The sequence below is a fragment of the Homo sapiens genome, chromosome 6 (assembly GCF_000001405.40).
Source record: "Homo sapiens chromosome 6, GRCh38.p14 Primary Assembly".
NCBI classification, from domain to species: Eukaryota; Metazoa; Chordata; class Mammalia; order Primates; family Hominidae; genus Homo; species Homo sapiens.
Window position 1 is genome coordinate 154102665 of NC_000006.12, and position 15151 is coordinate 154117815.

Here is a 15151-nt window from a genome sequence, read left to right on the forward strand (position 1 = left end):
GCCAAAATGCCTCCAGATATTGCCAAATGTCTCCTGGAGTGGAGGCAGGCAGCAGAAATCAGTCAAGAACCATTGATCTAACCTGTTTAATTTTGTTCAATAGCTGGAGAAACATTAAGGTCCAATTAGTTGTGATGTTTTTAAAGCAATGCTTGAGAAAATTGGAACCAAACCCCAGGTGTCCTGACTTTAGTCTGATCCTCCTCTGAAAATTTCTCTAAGGAAAGCTTTCTTCTACACCACTAACCAGTTGCAAAAAAAAAAAAAAAAAACACTCCATACTCATGGAAGACAAGAGAAAGGCACAATTCTTCAACCCTTATATTACTTCAAGCTTCTTTTAGAAAAAAAATGACCTTCAGCTTGAGACACTATTAAGAAAAAAATTAAAGGCCAATAAAGATGAAGATATTGTTAGAGAACCCCAGGAGGCTCTGAATGAGGTCAAATCTCATGGCGATATTAAAACATTAAGAGGAGTTGTGGACAAACTACAATGAAACACAAATCATAATCTCTGAAGCAAATAAGAATGGAAGGACTCCTGGAAAATGAGGGTAAAGAAATAGAATCCCAAGTTTAATGGGAATATTGTAGCAACTGAAAACCACAGAATATTTAGCTTTGTACAAATTGTTTTTAGAACCTGGATTAAATCATTAAAATGTATTTTGAAAGTACTTAGAAAGAAAGCAAGTAACCTCTAAGAGGCAAGTTATCATTAGTTATGGCAAAATAAATTTTATTTTCTTAGAACATTACTGGACCCGGAAATTAGGTAAACCCTATACCAATTGTGTTTCTAACAATAGATTTGACAAGCTCTTACTAATTTCTGTAATACTATACTGTGTTTATGATCTAGGTAATAGTACAATGAGGTAGGTTTATAAACTTTTTTTTTCAAAGTGAAAGCAAGTTTATTAAGAAAGTAAAGAAATAAAAGAATAGCTACTCCATAGAGCAGCCCTGAGGGCTTCTGGTGGCCCATTTTTACAGTTATTTCTTGATGATATGCTCAACAAGGGGTGTATTATTCATGCCTCCCCTTTTTAGACCATACAGGGTAACTTCCTGATGTTTCCATGGCATTTGTAAATTGTCATGGTGTTGGTGGGAGTGTAGCAGTGAGGACAACCAGGGGTCACTCTTGTTGCCATTTTGGTTTTCATGGGTTTTGGCCGGCTCCTTTACTGCAACGTGTTTTATCAGCAAGGTCTTTATGACCTGTATTTTGTGCTGACCTCTTATCTCAGCCTGTGACTTAGAATCCCTTCACTGTCTAGGAATGCAGCCCAATAGGTTTCAGCCTCATTTTACTCAGCTCTTATTCAAGATGGAGTTGTTCTGGTTCACATGCCTCTGACATGTCCCCCCTCCCTTTTGTAAGAGAACCCTTAATCCTAAGAGTTGCAGAGAGATGAAGATCCATCTTCCGTAACTTCTTCAGGCTGAATAGGGGCAATAATATTCCTGCCTAGCTATTAGGGGCTCTTGTGTTTAGGGTAGAGAGAAGCTCAGTCAGAAAGCATCAGTATGGCGAGGGCCATTCATGACTCTTGAGTTTCAACAACAGATGATATCTGGAAGATTAATAAATGTTTAGTTAAAGAAAACATTCAGTCAGCTTGTCCTGTATTCCTACACAAAGAATATAATAGGAATATATTCCAAAAGAGTAAAGCAAAACAAATGAAGTTATTCCAAGTAAACTAAATTAGAATGCTTTTCATAAACTGGACAACTGTTGGAACTAAGCTGATATGGGGTTGTTAGCTGATTGTAATGTGCCCAGAATTAGAATACTCATTTAGATTTTTACATTACCCATCCCTCTTGTTTCTTCTAAGCAGCAGTCAGACATCACTGGTTGGTTTACAGGAATAAGCAGGATTAGCCTAAATTGCAGAAACAAGCTTAAAAACAACTAATGAGACTAGAATTTAATAACAAGTGTACCATAGTTTTTGAAACATAATATTTCTCTCTCTAGTTTCCCATTTTTACTAAAGACAAATCATGGTAAGGCTGATTTGCTTTATTATACATGACCTGATTATTTGTATAAAGTGCAGCAAGAATAATTATTTTTCACATAAGCTCTTTTTAAATTGGCTTTGATGGAATGCTGTTCCACAGAAGGAATTTCAGGTAAGATCTTTTTAAGCCAAGCCCAGCCATGGGTTTGTACCCTCAAATACCTATAAGTTGGGTAAATTTCTTTCCTCTTGAGGTCCCAAAGTAACTTCAGTCTTCTGGACCTGACAGAAAATGACGTTCTTTACTTACCATAGGTCAGAAACCCTGAACAGGGACTGTGTAGGCAAGGTATGAGGCCAGTTCCCCAAGGGACTTTTATTGGCTTTATAAGTCAAGTTTAATTCCTTAAAGGAAAACACACCATTCCAGTCAAAGCCTTGGTAAGATAAACAATTTCTCCAATTGTGTTGTATTACAAAAGAAAACAGATTCTTATTATGCCTATGCAAATAACTATACTACCATAAGTTAAGAATACTCACAACTAGTTTCCAAATTCTGTAGAAATCAGGTAGACAGAAATAAATATGCTCCAAATTTTGTTCATAGGAGTACACTCAACTGTTAAAAGCTGTAAATAGCTTAAAAGAAAAGTTTTCTTGACTCTGAAAAACAAAACAAAGGATCAGCAATGTTCTAAGCAAAGTTTAAAAGATTAGTTTTCTATTGGTTTACTGAATTTAGTTAACTCCTGTTTTGCTTGACATTCATGAACATTCCATGTCTTCATGAGTTCTGAAAGTTGTTTCCTCTATTCTAATGTTACAATTTCCAAAGTTATCAGAAACTTGCATTTAAGAACACCTGTTAGAGTTCTATAGTTGATTATAAATCATCTTCTAAAGAGGATTAAAACAAGACAACAATTTTCTGTGGATGACAAAAAGTTTTAGGACAGCCACTATTAAAGCCACAATTGATAAGGAAATTTGCTTACTTCTGTGGCACACAGAATTTTACACAACAGTTATAAATAACATACACTAAGTCATATTAGAATTATAGGAGTTTCCCATAACTTTGGAACATATACCAGTAACACATTTATGCAAATATAGTCTAAAGCAAGCAAAACATCATTTCACATTTGATAACACTTCCTCTATGATTTTTATGCCAAATAAGTCAAATTTCACCTTTTACTATTAATGCTAAACCTAAGTTTTAATAAAACCTTATAGACATATTTACCCAATTTTAATGTTTAACCATAAGGTAAGATTCTTATAAACCTTTTATAACCATTTACATTTTTTTGTGTAAGAGCAGATCAGTGCTCTAGGAAAAAGCTATTGTGATTTATTCCAATGTTTAATTTATGGAAAAACGGAATAATACCCCCTTTTAGCCAATATGTTCACACACAGAATCTCTTACAATTAATCCTTATAAACCTTCCACAGCTTGTTTAAATCTTTAGATTTTTTTCTTACTTAAAACAATCCTTTAACACTTTAAGCAGAAAAAATTCACATTCTTATGACTTCTTATAATTTTTCACCAAAAACACATTTTACTTTCTTTACACACCTTGCATGTAAGATTGTTTCTTTAGTAGTTTTAATTACATGTGATAATGTTAACTCTTAGCAACTTCTATTTTTGATGAAAACCTTGGTAAATTTGAGATTTTAGTTGTGTGCTAGGTGTGAAGCCTGGCCCAGAACACTCCAGGCAGAAGTGCAGATAAGAGCTGGCTCTCCAGCACAGCTGAGGGCATGACTAACTCCGCATGTCCCCAGACCTTACCTAGCAGTAAAGCAGGCAAGTTGTACGGTAAGAGTCATAGTGGCATTTTATGAAGCATTTAGGAGTCCTTACAACCTTTGAATTACACAACATTTCTTGCATAAATTCCTTTTCACAAATCCTTTCATCACTCACACAGAATATCTGAGGCATTTTTGGACTTTCTGACTTGCCCTAAACCTCCCTTCTTTTAAACAACCAGTTATTTTACTTTAGGACAAGAATTTACCATACAGGATCCTTTTTTATATAAAATCTCTTTCTTTATAATCTTCTTTGTATAGCTAGGGGGCATGGTAAATTCCACATATCCCCAGGCCTTATCTAGAATTTAATGGCTTTAGGGTAGGTAGATTGAACAATTTTCAAAAGTCAAAGAAACAGTTTGACCTTAAAGCATTTAGCAAATCTGATATCTGACCTTAATTTAGACCAAATGTCTACATTTTTAAGATGTTTTATTTTACCAATAATCTTTAAAACTGTCTTTATTTCCAAAATATTACTAAAGTCATGTGAACAAAGAGGCATAAAATATTCTATTTTTCTGCTGAAATACTTCATTTAAAGGCTTATATTTCTAAGCCAATTAATCAGAGCCCTTTTACATATAAACATACAACACATATAAATATAGAGACAGACAGAAGATTCAGCACTTGTAAGATTTTCATTTGCCAGTTTCTTAATTGGATGACTGGCTTGAGGATGGAGTCCTTGGAAGAATGGGGACAGGAAAGGGGTCTCTGGTGCCTCCTGTTTTTCCCAAGGAGTCCAGACTGTTAAGAGTTTGAATGTCCGCTTTTAATTAAACTGATTTTAACCATAGCACTCTTTAATAAAGTTCTTTTAGAATTTCTTATGCCAAAAGGCCGGTATTTCTGGCTTTTGAACTTCACCAAAGGCAACCTCCTTGGTGCTTAGAGAAAGGAAAATTTCAGACAGTCCGCAGAGGAGAAGAGAATAGACGTCTTCACTCAGATATTAAACCAGAAGTGACTTACTTTCTAGGTGGAATTGAACCTGGACTGTCACTGTGAAAATGCAAAGCCTTGGCCACTGAGCTACAATGCAGGGCAGTCTCCATTTCCCTTCCCAGGAAGAGTCTAGAGCATTAATTTTGAGTTTGCAAAGGCTTGTAACTATTTCATATGATTTTTAGAGCTGACTATGACATGAACCCTAAAATTCCTGTTCCCTTGAAGGTGGAGACCAAGAGAAGGTACTGCCGTGTGGTTAAAAGGTCAAGCTCCCAAGGTGGAGAGACTTCATCCAGTTTTTTTGTTGGTTTCAGGGACCTCCAGCCAAGTTTGTTGCTGACCAACTTGCCGGGTCGTCTTGAAAAGGGGGCTTACAGGTGTTCCAAGCCCGTGTTTTATCCTGAAGTATCCCTCAACACAGAAAAACGACCTCATAACACAAAATACACCAGCTTAAAAATAGCCTTTGAATTATTTTTCACATTAATCAAAACTTTACAGAGGAGATAAACACTGATTTTTTTATTTTATTTTATTTTATTTTATTTTATTTTATTGCCATTCATTCAACCGTTTGCACAGAGAGAAAGAAGACAGAAATCTGACTGGTAAGAAATTGTTACCCTTTTGCCAGCATGCCAGGCTTCTGGGTTCCCTTTCCCTGAGCGGCCCTAGTGATCCGGCTTGCGGCACCATCGCCTACGGGCCAAGCTGCATCATAAAGGAAATTTTTTTTTTTCATTCTGGCCAGAGCAAAACACATGTGATAAAACATAGGCATTAGCTACTCTGCTTAGCACCAAATATCAGACTAGCTTAAATTTGCCCCCAGATGGGTTCCATCATCTTTAATCCGACCTCTGACTTGCAGTTTCAACACGTGCTCTCTGGGCAAAACAGTTGCCCTGAGTAACAGAAAAGATAGGAAAGGAAAAGGAGAGAGAGAAAAACGTGCCAGTGGAAGGGTGGGGAAGGTGAAATGATCAAGGAGGCCAGAGAAAGACTCACCTATTGCAGCAACACTGTAGAAGTTCAGGCAGCTGCTTCTCGGTAGCAAAAGGATCTTTTCCAGCAATCCTATTAGCTCTCAAGTTTCCCCTTTTAGGGAGGAAAAAGCTCCCCATGTCCCGCGATCCTGTACATGTCCAACCCTGCCATCCACAGCCATCAGCAAAGAGTGCAAGACAGATTAATCCAAAGAGAATAGCAATTAATATCCCATAGCATCAAAGCTGTTCTTAGCCAAGAGGGACTTTAACGAGAGGGGTCTCTAACACCCTAAATCTTAGAAGAGACTCTAACCATCCTAAGTAGGGCCTCTAACCCCGCTTTATAAACTTTTAATTGACTCCCATCTTAACAGTTGCAATCCATGGAGGAATGCTTGATAACCTCGGTGATAAGATAAAAAACCAAGCATACTAGAAGTGTTCTCTAAAATTAAAAATACAGTAGTTACTAGAGAAAAATTTTAGTCCAAAAATCCAACTATAGAAACATAGAATGTGAGAGGTAGCACATAAGAAATAAGTCATGGGGATTTTATTTCATGGACCAGCAATATGATGATAAAAGCCATCTAACCTGTTGGAATTATAGGTCACATCAAGAGAATTCTAGTGTCTAGAACCAAAGAAATGTTAGCCTCACTCTAATAGACAATACACTTCAGGAACGAAATAAGCAAATTAGATTGTGTTCAGAGATGAATAACCAAGATGGCAGAGGGAATTAAAATAATTGCTCATGATTACCCTGGGAAATAGAAGGCTTAGAAAGGACAACACAGTTTCTTCATATGCTTAAAGCAATGTGAATAGGGAATTGGACTCAACCAACATAGCCCGACTTATTAAAGCCAATGGGTAGAGGTTACAGAGAAAGCTATTCCAGTACAACCAAACAAAAAAAATAAAATGTAAGCCACTTTCTTGAGACATGATTGACTTACAAAAAGATGTATGTATTTAATGTATACAACTTGATGAGTTTAGAATTTTCTAAGCTGTGAGTTATAGAGATTTTCTTGTTACTGGAAGTCTAATATTCAAACATCAGCATTTTGCCTACATGAAAAGGACACTGAGATAATTCAGATGTTAAGATTTGATGATTAGGGAATCAGAGGGAATGACCCTTTGAATAAGGTTTTCAGTTTTCACACGCTCTACCAGCTTCTTGTAGAACACTACTAAAGTGAAATGCTAATGGTGGTCCGTGAATGAGAAGCTCTATAGACAAGTGTTAGGAAATGTGGCCTACCTTATTTTGGTCATGGGGACTGATAATATGTATAAGCATTTAAAAGGCTGTGAAAAGCCCTACTCTCTCTCCCTCTCTCTCTCTCTCTCTCTCTCTCTGTGTGTGTGTGTGTGTGTGTGTGTGTGTGTGTGTGTGTGTTGCATACATACACATTTCATTTTCTAAGCCAAAGTTCAGTTCTCCAGTTCATCTGAGCTCAGGCCCAGTTTTTCAAGGGACACCTTATAACATCTCACAGAATAAAGGTTTCACTAAGCAATGTTTAAAAGCCACTGTAGATCATCAGTCCCAGTTAGGCATGAATCTATTCAAAATTCAATGTTTCACTGGAATAATTGGCAAGGTCTCATAATTCTAGGCATTAATCAGAATCCTAAAATTGATTGTTGAACTCTTATTCTTACTCATTTAAAATATATGCTCTAAATACTTCAGTATACAAAAAGACATTAAAATTTCCTATCTCTGAAAATAGAGCAGGGTTTTCCCTTTTGTTTTATTTGGGTTTTCACTTTTGTTTTACTTTGTTTTCTGGTGATATTACAAGAAAAAAATCTATGTACCTTTGGGGTATAAATCATTGAATTAAACTATACATTGCTAAGAATAAGCATTATAATTGGTACATTGTTCTGTTTTTGAATGAAATATCTTTGCAGAAAATAGATTTATTTCAAAAGTCATCTTTACTCAACTGTGAGCATACCAAGGGCTAATAATTACAATATTTTCCCGTGAAAGAATATAAGATTGGAAGCCAGAGAGCCTGGGTTCTGCTGCTAGCCCTAATGGAGACCATTTGTGTGAGTTTTTCATCCCATGGCTTAAGGGTTGCTTATGGTTGCTTAAGGGATCCCTTCACAAGCAGGAGTTTCCGAGCTCTTTTGACTGCTCAAGAATTAGGACTCATTGGCCGGGCACGGTGGCTCAAGCCTGTAATCCCAGCACTTTGGGAGACCGAAGTGGGTGGATCACGAGGTCAGGAAATCGAGATCATCCTGGCTAACATGGTGAAACCCCATCTCTACTAAAAATTCAAAAACTTAGCAGGCGTGGTGGCGGGCACCTGTAGTCCCAGCTACTCGGGAGGCTGAGGCAGGAGAATGGCGTGAACCCGTGAGGCGGAGCTTGCAGTGAGCAGAGATCGCGCCACTGCACTCCAGCCTGGGCGACAAAGCGAGACTCCGTCTCAAAAAAAAAAAAAAAAAAAAAAAGAGAGAATTAGGACTCATTTCTGGGTTTGACTGATTACACCATTCAGACTCCAGGGCCAGCTTCTGTTAGTGGACAATAAATGTAATGACCAACGCTTTCTCTTGTGAAAGAAAGATGTATTATATTGGACAAAATAAGTCCATATTCACAGCAGAAGAAAGCATATGGCAGATCAAGTCTGGATCTTTTGAACTACCAGATTATTCTACCTCTCCTTGAATTCTTCTTTGCTGAAGTCGGAGCCCTTGTACTATAGATTCCATATGTCTGATTCAGGCAATGGAGCTTGGAAGAGGGGATGAGTTTCCTATTATTATTATTTAGGTACATGGAGATCTTTGCCTATGAGTCATCAGCTCCCAAGGTTTTCTGTATGGCTCTGTTTTTATGATTTCTGTAATAAATGAGATTTTGAAGCCTATTTCTGGCTCAAACTCTGATTGGCTTCAAAAGTACCCAAGCCTGTTATTGCCTTCAATTGTAACTTTGAATGGCATCACAAAGAGAAAAGAAAAAAATTGAGGTGGAGGAGAGTGGCCACAAAATAAAAATATTAAACCAACTTTCCTCCTCCAATGCACCTGGGCACACCACTTCACCTCTCAAGGTTATGTTTGCTTCCATAGATTGACAAGGTTGAAAAGACAATCTCTTCAATTTTCTTTAGTTCCAAAAGTGCAGGAAATACACACCAACCTTTGCGTGGATAAAGATTAAAAGTGCCTTAAATCAGCTTCCATTTGAACCTTAAAAGCTTTTCAAACATTTAATTTTTTTAAACAGGACCAAAAATAGCCCAAGGGTATTTGCTAGTTGACTTCCTGGAAAAACTATAGTTTATTTTTATTTATTTATTTATTTATTTATTTATTTTGAGACCGAGTCTCGCTCTGTCGCCCAGCTGGAGTGCAGTGGTGCCATCTCGGCTCACTGCAAGCTCCGCCTCCCGAGTTCATGCCATTCTCCTGCCTCAGCTTCCTGAGTAGCTGGGACTACAGGCACCTGCCACCACGCCCAGCTAATTTTTTGTATTTTTAGTAGAAACGGGGTTTCACTGTGTTAGCCAGGATGGTCTCGATCTCCTGACCTTGTGATCCGCCCGCCTCGGCCTCCCAAAGTGCTGGCATTACAGGCTGGAGCCACCGCGCCTGGCCAAAAACTATAGTTTAAAAAATTGTTGACAAAAATAGAAAACCGACAGCAGAGAGTTGTGTTACATCTATGTATCTAACATATGTGTCTAAGTATGGTATCTAATGTCAAATGTCAAATCTACTAACTGTACTGTGGTTATCATCAGAAAAGAAACCCAGCTTTAGAAAATGGTAGGAAGTTCCAAAACTGCAAAGGAGATATCTTAGCAAGCAAGTAGCTTGGCTTTTCACAATTTTATGGGTGCTAGAAATAGCATGACTCAGTGGACCAGAGAAAACCACTTATTACTCACAGCACAGTAAACAGCACAAGTATCAGCATGCTAATGCCAGTTCCTTTGCCTTTATGTCTTGTGATGTGACACCATGAACCCAAATTGCTGCTACACATACAATGAGTTGCACAGCAGCTGAGGAGTTCAGAGATATGGGTTCAGTGTCTTTTGTAGCAAGCAGTAAACAAATCAATCCTCCTTCCCCAGGAGCCAGAGTCTCAAAATGCCGTGGTCCTCATGTGGTCAGGCAGTGAAGGTTGTTAATTGACTATGACTAGCTGTAGAAAGAAATCAGGGTGAGAAGATGATTAGATCTTGCAGTTCAGCTCAGTCAGTAAGAATGGGCAGGGTTGTTCAGTGGACTGCCTCTCCCAATAATTCACATTCAACCTAGAATATTCTTGGCTGAACTTAAATTTTTATACGATTATGCCACCCTATCAGCAACTTGAATTAGACATATTGACAAGGACTAGGACCAAATCTGTTTCCACTTATTTCAGTCAATACTAGATTAGGGCTATTGTCAGCAGAATCCCATCCACAGGATTAGGTCAGTCTGCAGTATTGACCTCCACCATGCACTCCAGGATCCCCGACCCAATTAAATAAGTCACAGAGAAGACTAATAGGTCAAATTTCAGATAAGCACCTAGCTTCCTTTCTTATGGTATGCATGGATTGCTCCACCATACCGTGGATATTAATCCAAACAAAACAGGAACAGTTGGCTACCATACAAATTCTCCTCCATTCAGCCAGACTGTAGTCTAAGGCCAATCAATGACCCATTTACAATCAGGGAGCTAAGACTGACCTGCTGATCTTCTATGGTTTGTTCTGTCTCATTGGCTAGGGTAGCTAAACTTAAGAATAGGTTCCTGGCCTGTCTCTAAAATGTGGACTCTGATGCTGGGGAACAGTACTCACACTGCTGTATGGAAATAGAAAACCATGTATCCCTCAGGCAGGACAGCCCTCTTTACCTAGGGGACTAACAAAGGAAATAAAATCCAAAGAGTGGCGCCATTGCCAATTATTGCAAGGACTCAAAGATGAACCAAATAGCAACCTCCACATGCTCCAGTGGATGGATATCCTCTGGGCCACTCTCTCCCACATATGAACATATAACTTGATTTGGATCACCATGACCTTGGTTTGGTTAAGCTCTATGGGCAGGGTCGCCAAGTACTTGTCACCTGGACAGCCCTCCATAGCATGACTCAAGGGCACTCAGTGTCAGGAGAAGCACATGAATCAGTATGAGCTGTCTGAGTGATTGTGCAGGTAAAAAGGGTGATTAATTTTGGGGAGCTGACTTTGATACACCAGGCACAGTAGAATAATTCTGGACCAAGCAGGCCAACAGGAGATTTTCTGATCCCACAGCACACGGATGAGGATGATAAATCCAGCTGATAAATCCAGCAGTGTTACGGGTTGGCAATCAGAGCTGCTGCTTGTCTCTGATGGACCATGTGATTATTTTGCCAAGTGAGAGGCTGGGATTCAGAGACAAAAAGATCATTCATTATTCCCTCCTCTGAGCACCTCCAGGGTCTAAGGTGTTCTTTCCCCAATGAAGTGGCGAGTGGTGCCAGGGAAGCAGTGAGTCCAGGATGCCAAGGGGTACCTCCAGGTGGAGACTGTTTCCCTTTCCAGAAGCCTGGAGTTGAAAAGGGCCCCCTAGGTGGTCTGCTGCAACAGCCTGCTACACTGACCCACGTGTCACCTGCAGCTTAGGTCCCCAGTCATATATGGCAGACTTTCTAATCAACTTGTACATAGGACTCAACAAGAGGCATGCATAGATAAGGCACGTATTGTCTCTAAGATCTAAATAGTCCAATTAAGTGCCAGGCTTCCTTTCTCTTAGGAGAGCCATAGAGCAAAGAATATTTTCTTTACCGTCTAGGATCAACTTTTGAGTCTTAGTCCACATCATTTTGGAGATACTGACTTGGGTGGCTGGTCCTGTATCTTATCAGAATTAAGAGCCTTTCTGGGACTTCATGTGATTTAGCATTGGCTAATTTTATTAAGGCCTTTCAATAGAATATCATCAATACAGTAAGCCCAATTTCTCTGCAGAAAAAAAAAAGAGAGAAAGAGAAAGAGAGAGAGGCTTGTCCTGTGTTTTGACCCACCTATTGGCGATAAATAACAGGGAAATTCACGTAGTACTGCAACAGCCCAGTAAACATGTTTTGGAGGGTCAGCCAGGGAAGGGGTCTTAATCTTTGGGTGCAAAAGGGATTGAGAAAAATACATGGCCAAAATCAAAAATGGCACACCAGGTGCTATCACAGGGAATTGATTCATTTACAGTCACAATGTCTGTAACAGCCAGGACTATAATACCAACTAAATTCAGTTGGCATGATCTAACACAAGCCTCCAGATTCCCATTAGTTTTTTTTTTCACTGACCATACAAGGCTGCTACATTGAGATATTACATTTTTCATTAGTCCCATTGTATTTAAGTCCTTGGTCAAGGTTGTGGTTTCATTTTCTCCTTCTGGAATTCTAATTAAAAAAAAAAAAACAAAAAACTTGAAGAGAACCAAAGCCAAGTTGTGATCAGTTGTGCATGCATCCTTCTATCCCTCTCTACAAATGGCTCTTCCAATCAAAAAAATCTCTCTTGTACATCATGAACATTTACAGAACAAGAATGTAAATTATCAATACCAATTACACATTCAGCCCTGGGAGCCGCAAAAGTAGTAGATAACAGGGCTCTAAACAGCTCTGCCTAGTGGATACAGTTACTTCCTTTCCTATTTTTTTGGTATCAAATCTGGGTAATTAAATGTGTGGTCCTTACAAGAGAAGGACCTCGGAGAACCTAGTGCAGTCCCTCAGGAGAACCTAGTACTTAGTCATTTGAGCATGGATATCAAAAAGAGACATAAGGCGGCGCAGTGGCTCAAGCTTGTAATCCTAGCACTTTGGGAGGCTGAGGTGGGTAGATCGCTTGAGCTCAGGAGTTCGAGACCAGCCTGGGCAACATCGTGAAACCCCGTCTCTACCAAAAATACAAAAATTAGCCAGGTGTGGTGGTGCATGTCTGTGGTCCCAGCTACTCGGGAGACTGAGGTGGGAGAATTGCTTGAGCCTGGGAGGTGGAGGTTGCAGTGAGCAGAGATTATACCACTGCACTCCAGCCTGGGTGACAGAGTGAGGCTCTGCCTCAAAAGAAAAAAAGAGAGAGAGAGAGAATAAGAGTTGGACCCTTCCTTCTCTCCTCTACCTCCATTGTTCCCCCCATCAGGTGTAATGCCTCTGATTCCTCTTGGGAATGAAGAGAGCTTGTCCTTAAAGGAGTCTAAATCAGGATATAGAAGTTTAAAGTTAGACAGTAGAGGTTCTGAGGGGGTGATCTGCCCTGGGGCAGCAACCTGGCTTCCCCCTCCATTAAAGGAGGATTGATCTCCACAAAGGAATCTGTTTCTATAAAGGAACATAGAGTTTCATCTGTGTAAACAACTAACTGCCTCCCTAGGGCCCACCGTCGCTAGATATCTGGACTGAGTTTCTTTGGCGATCATCCGATCATTCCCTTCTTTGGGAGCTCCTGTTTAGTAGGCATGCCCACATTGCCTTATGATCAGGTCCCTTTGGAGGGGCTTGGTTTTTCTCATCCTGGGCTTTGTTTTGGATTGCAGAGACCTTACCTGGTTTAGGGAGTGGTGTCTTTATCCTAGACATCTAGAGGCCCTAAATCAGCACAGCTGCCAGTACAGGATCTCCCGGCAAGAAAAGTAGTGGAATCCTCAACCTTGGAGGGAGAAACTCAATCTTAAAAATGCACTGGTCGTGCTCTGGGTGAGGGTTCATCATCAAAGCTGTCATTCTGTCCAGGACAGAACAAGTCTAGGGCAGCTTCAGCCCTCAGGCTTTAAATAGCTTCCTCCATGGGGTTTCATGAGATTTTATTGACTTAAGAAAATCTTCTTCAGTTGGGCGTGGTGCCTCATGCCTGTAATCCCACCATTTTGAAGGCCGAGGCAAGTAGATCACTTGAGGTCAAGAGCTCCAGACCAGCCTGGCCAACATGGGAAACCCCATCTCTACTAAAAGTACAAAAATTAGCTGGGCGTGGTGGCACATGCTTGTAATTCCAGCTACTCAGGAGGCTGAGGCATAAGAATTGCTTGAATCTGGGAGGTGGAGGTTGCAGTCAGGCAACATCATGCCACTGCACTCTAGCCTGGGTGACAGAACGAGACTCTGCCTCAAAAAAAAAAAAAAAAGAAAAGAAAAGAAAAGAAAAATCTTCTTGGATTTACCATAATGTAGTCACTAAAACAGAAATCCAGGGTAGCAAACCTTATTGTGGGACATGATTCTATCTCAATGACATAATTTGCACAGTGTTTTAAAGTATAAGGTCCCACATGAGACAGCCTTGGTTCTGCATGCTCTAAGGCATAACCTTTCTTACTCCTTCATTACACCAATGCAGCAGCCAAGTGTCGAACAGCCCCTCTGTCTGCTGATCCAAGCACCCCTGGACTTCTTTCCTTTCTCTCTCCCCTTGGATCTGCATCTTGGTACTCTCTGTGGGAATGCATTGCCCTTCAGGTGTATACATTTGTAACTTACAACTTGACACCGTTGTGCTTTCCTCCCTAATGGAACCCAGAATGTTCTCTCCATCCTCCACCCCACAGATGAGCAAACAGAAACCATGGCAGCTTCTTGGATTTTATCCCTCACCTTTCAACCTCCATCTATTGACTCAACTCTTGTTCATCAACAGGTAGGACAGAGGTGGACCACTCGCTGCCCACCTTCTGCACCATTTGGGCCAGAATATTTGCTACCAGACCCAGGGAGTTCACAAATGTCCCTGAATCCAGCTTATGAGTTCTTGCCTTTTTATTCTTCCAAAAAGTTGTTGTCTGTCTTGGCACCCTGCACTTTGTGCCACTTTGAGAAGAATTTCAACCTCTTAGAAGATGGCAAGAAGTAATAGAATTCCAAAAGAGATGACTAAGCAAGCAAGTAGGTTGCTTTGCCACAACTCTATAGGTGCCAAAATTAGACAAAAGACCCAGGCAATTGACTACTCACAGCACAGCAAACAGCAGAAGCTTTAGCATAATAGTGCCAGTTCCCCTACTCCCAAATCCCACAAGGCAATACGATGGGACCAGACTGCAGTACACACACAGTGGGTCGTATCACAGTTGAGGAACCCAGAGCTTAAGTCTCAGCACCTGGGGGAGCAATAAACAAACCTCCCCTACGATCAAGCAGCCACATCATGGTCAGTGCTGTGCTCGCCTGTGCTTTCTTAATTGCCTGTGTGACCAGCTACAGAAATGATCAGAGTCAGAGGACAGTTAGACCTTGTAATTTGTCAGGGTCAGCAAGGGTGTGCAGGGACACTCCTGGCCATGATGGACTGCCTCTCCCTAAAGTGAGAATGACCTAATCTGTTCTTTATTCTTAGAAAAAATGTA

At 40.1% G+C, this 15151-nt stretch overlaps 1 protein-coding gene across 18 annotated transcripts in view; it reads left to right on the forward strand.

The window, feature by feature from the left end:
* The window catches only part of OPRM1 (opioid receptor mu 1), a 236372-nt gene that overhangs the window by 92169 nt on the left and 129052 nt on the right, over positions 1-15151 (forward strand). For 2 of the 18 annotated variants that reach the window (NR_104349.1, NM_001145282.2), the window contains one exon: positions 7691-7789. The exons of 11 other annotated variants lie outside the window; for them this stretch is intronic. Coding sequence is in view for 5 of the 7 variants with exons in the window: in NM_001145282.2 (NP_001138754.1) it covers positions 7691-7747 (57 nt within the window). In the remaining 2 variants the exon portion in view is untranslated. Of the gene's footprint in view, positions 1-4800; positions 4989-5083; positions 6355-7690; positions 7790-15151 lie in introns of those variants that run through there. 5 more of the 18 variants (NR_104351.1, NM_001145284.3, NM_001145286.3 and 2 more) reach the window with 4 other exon arrangements.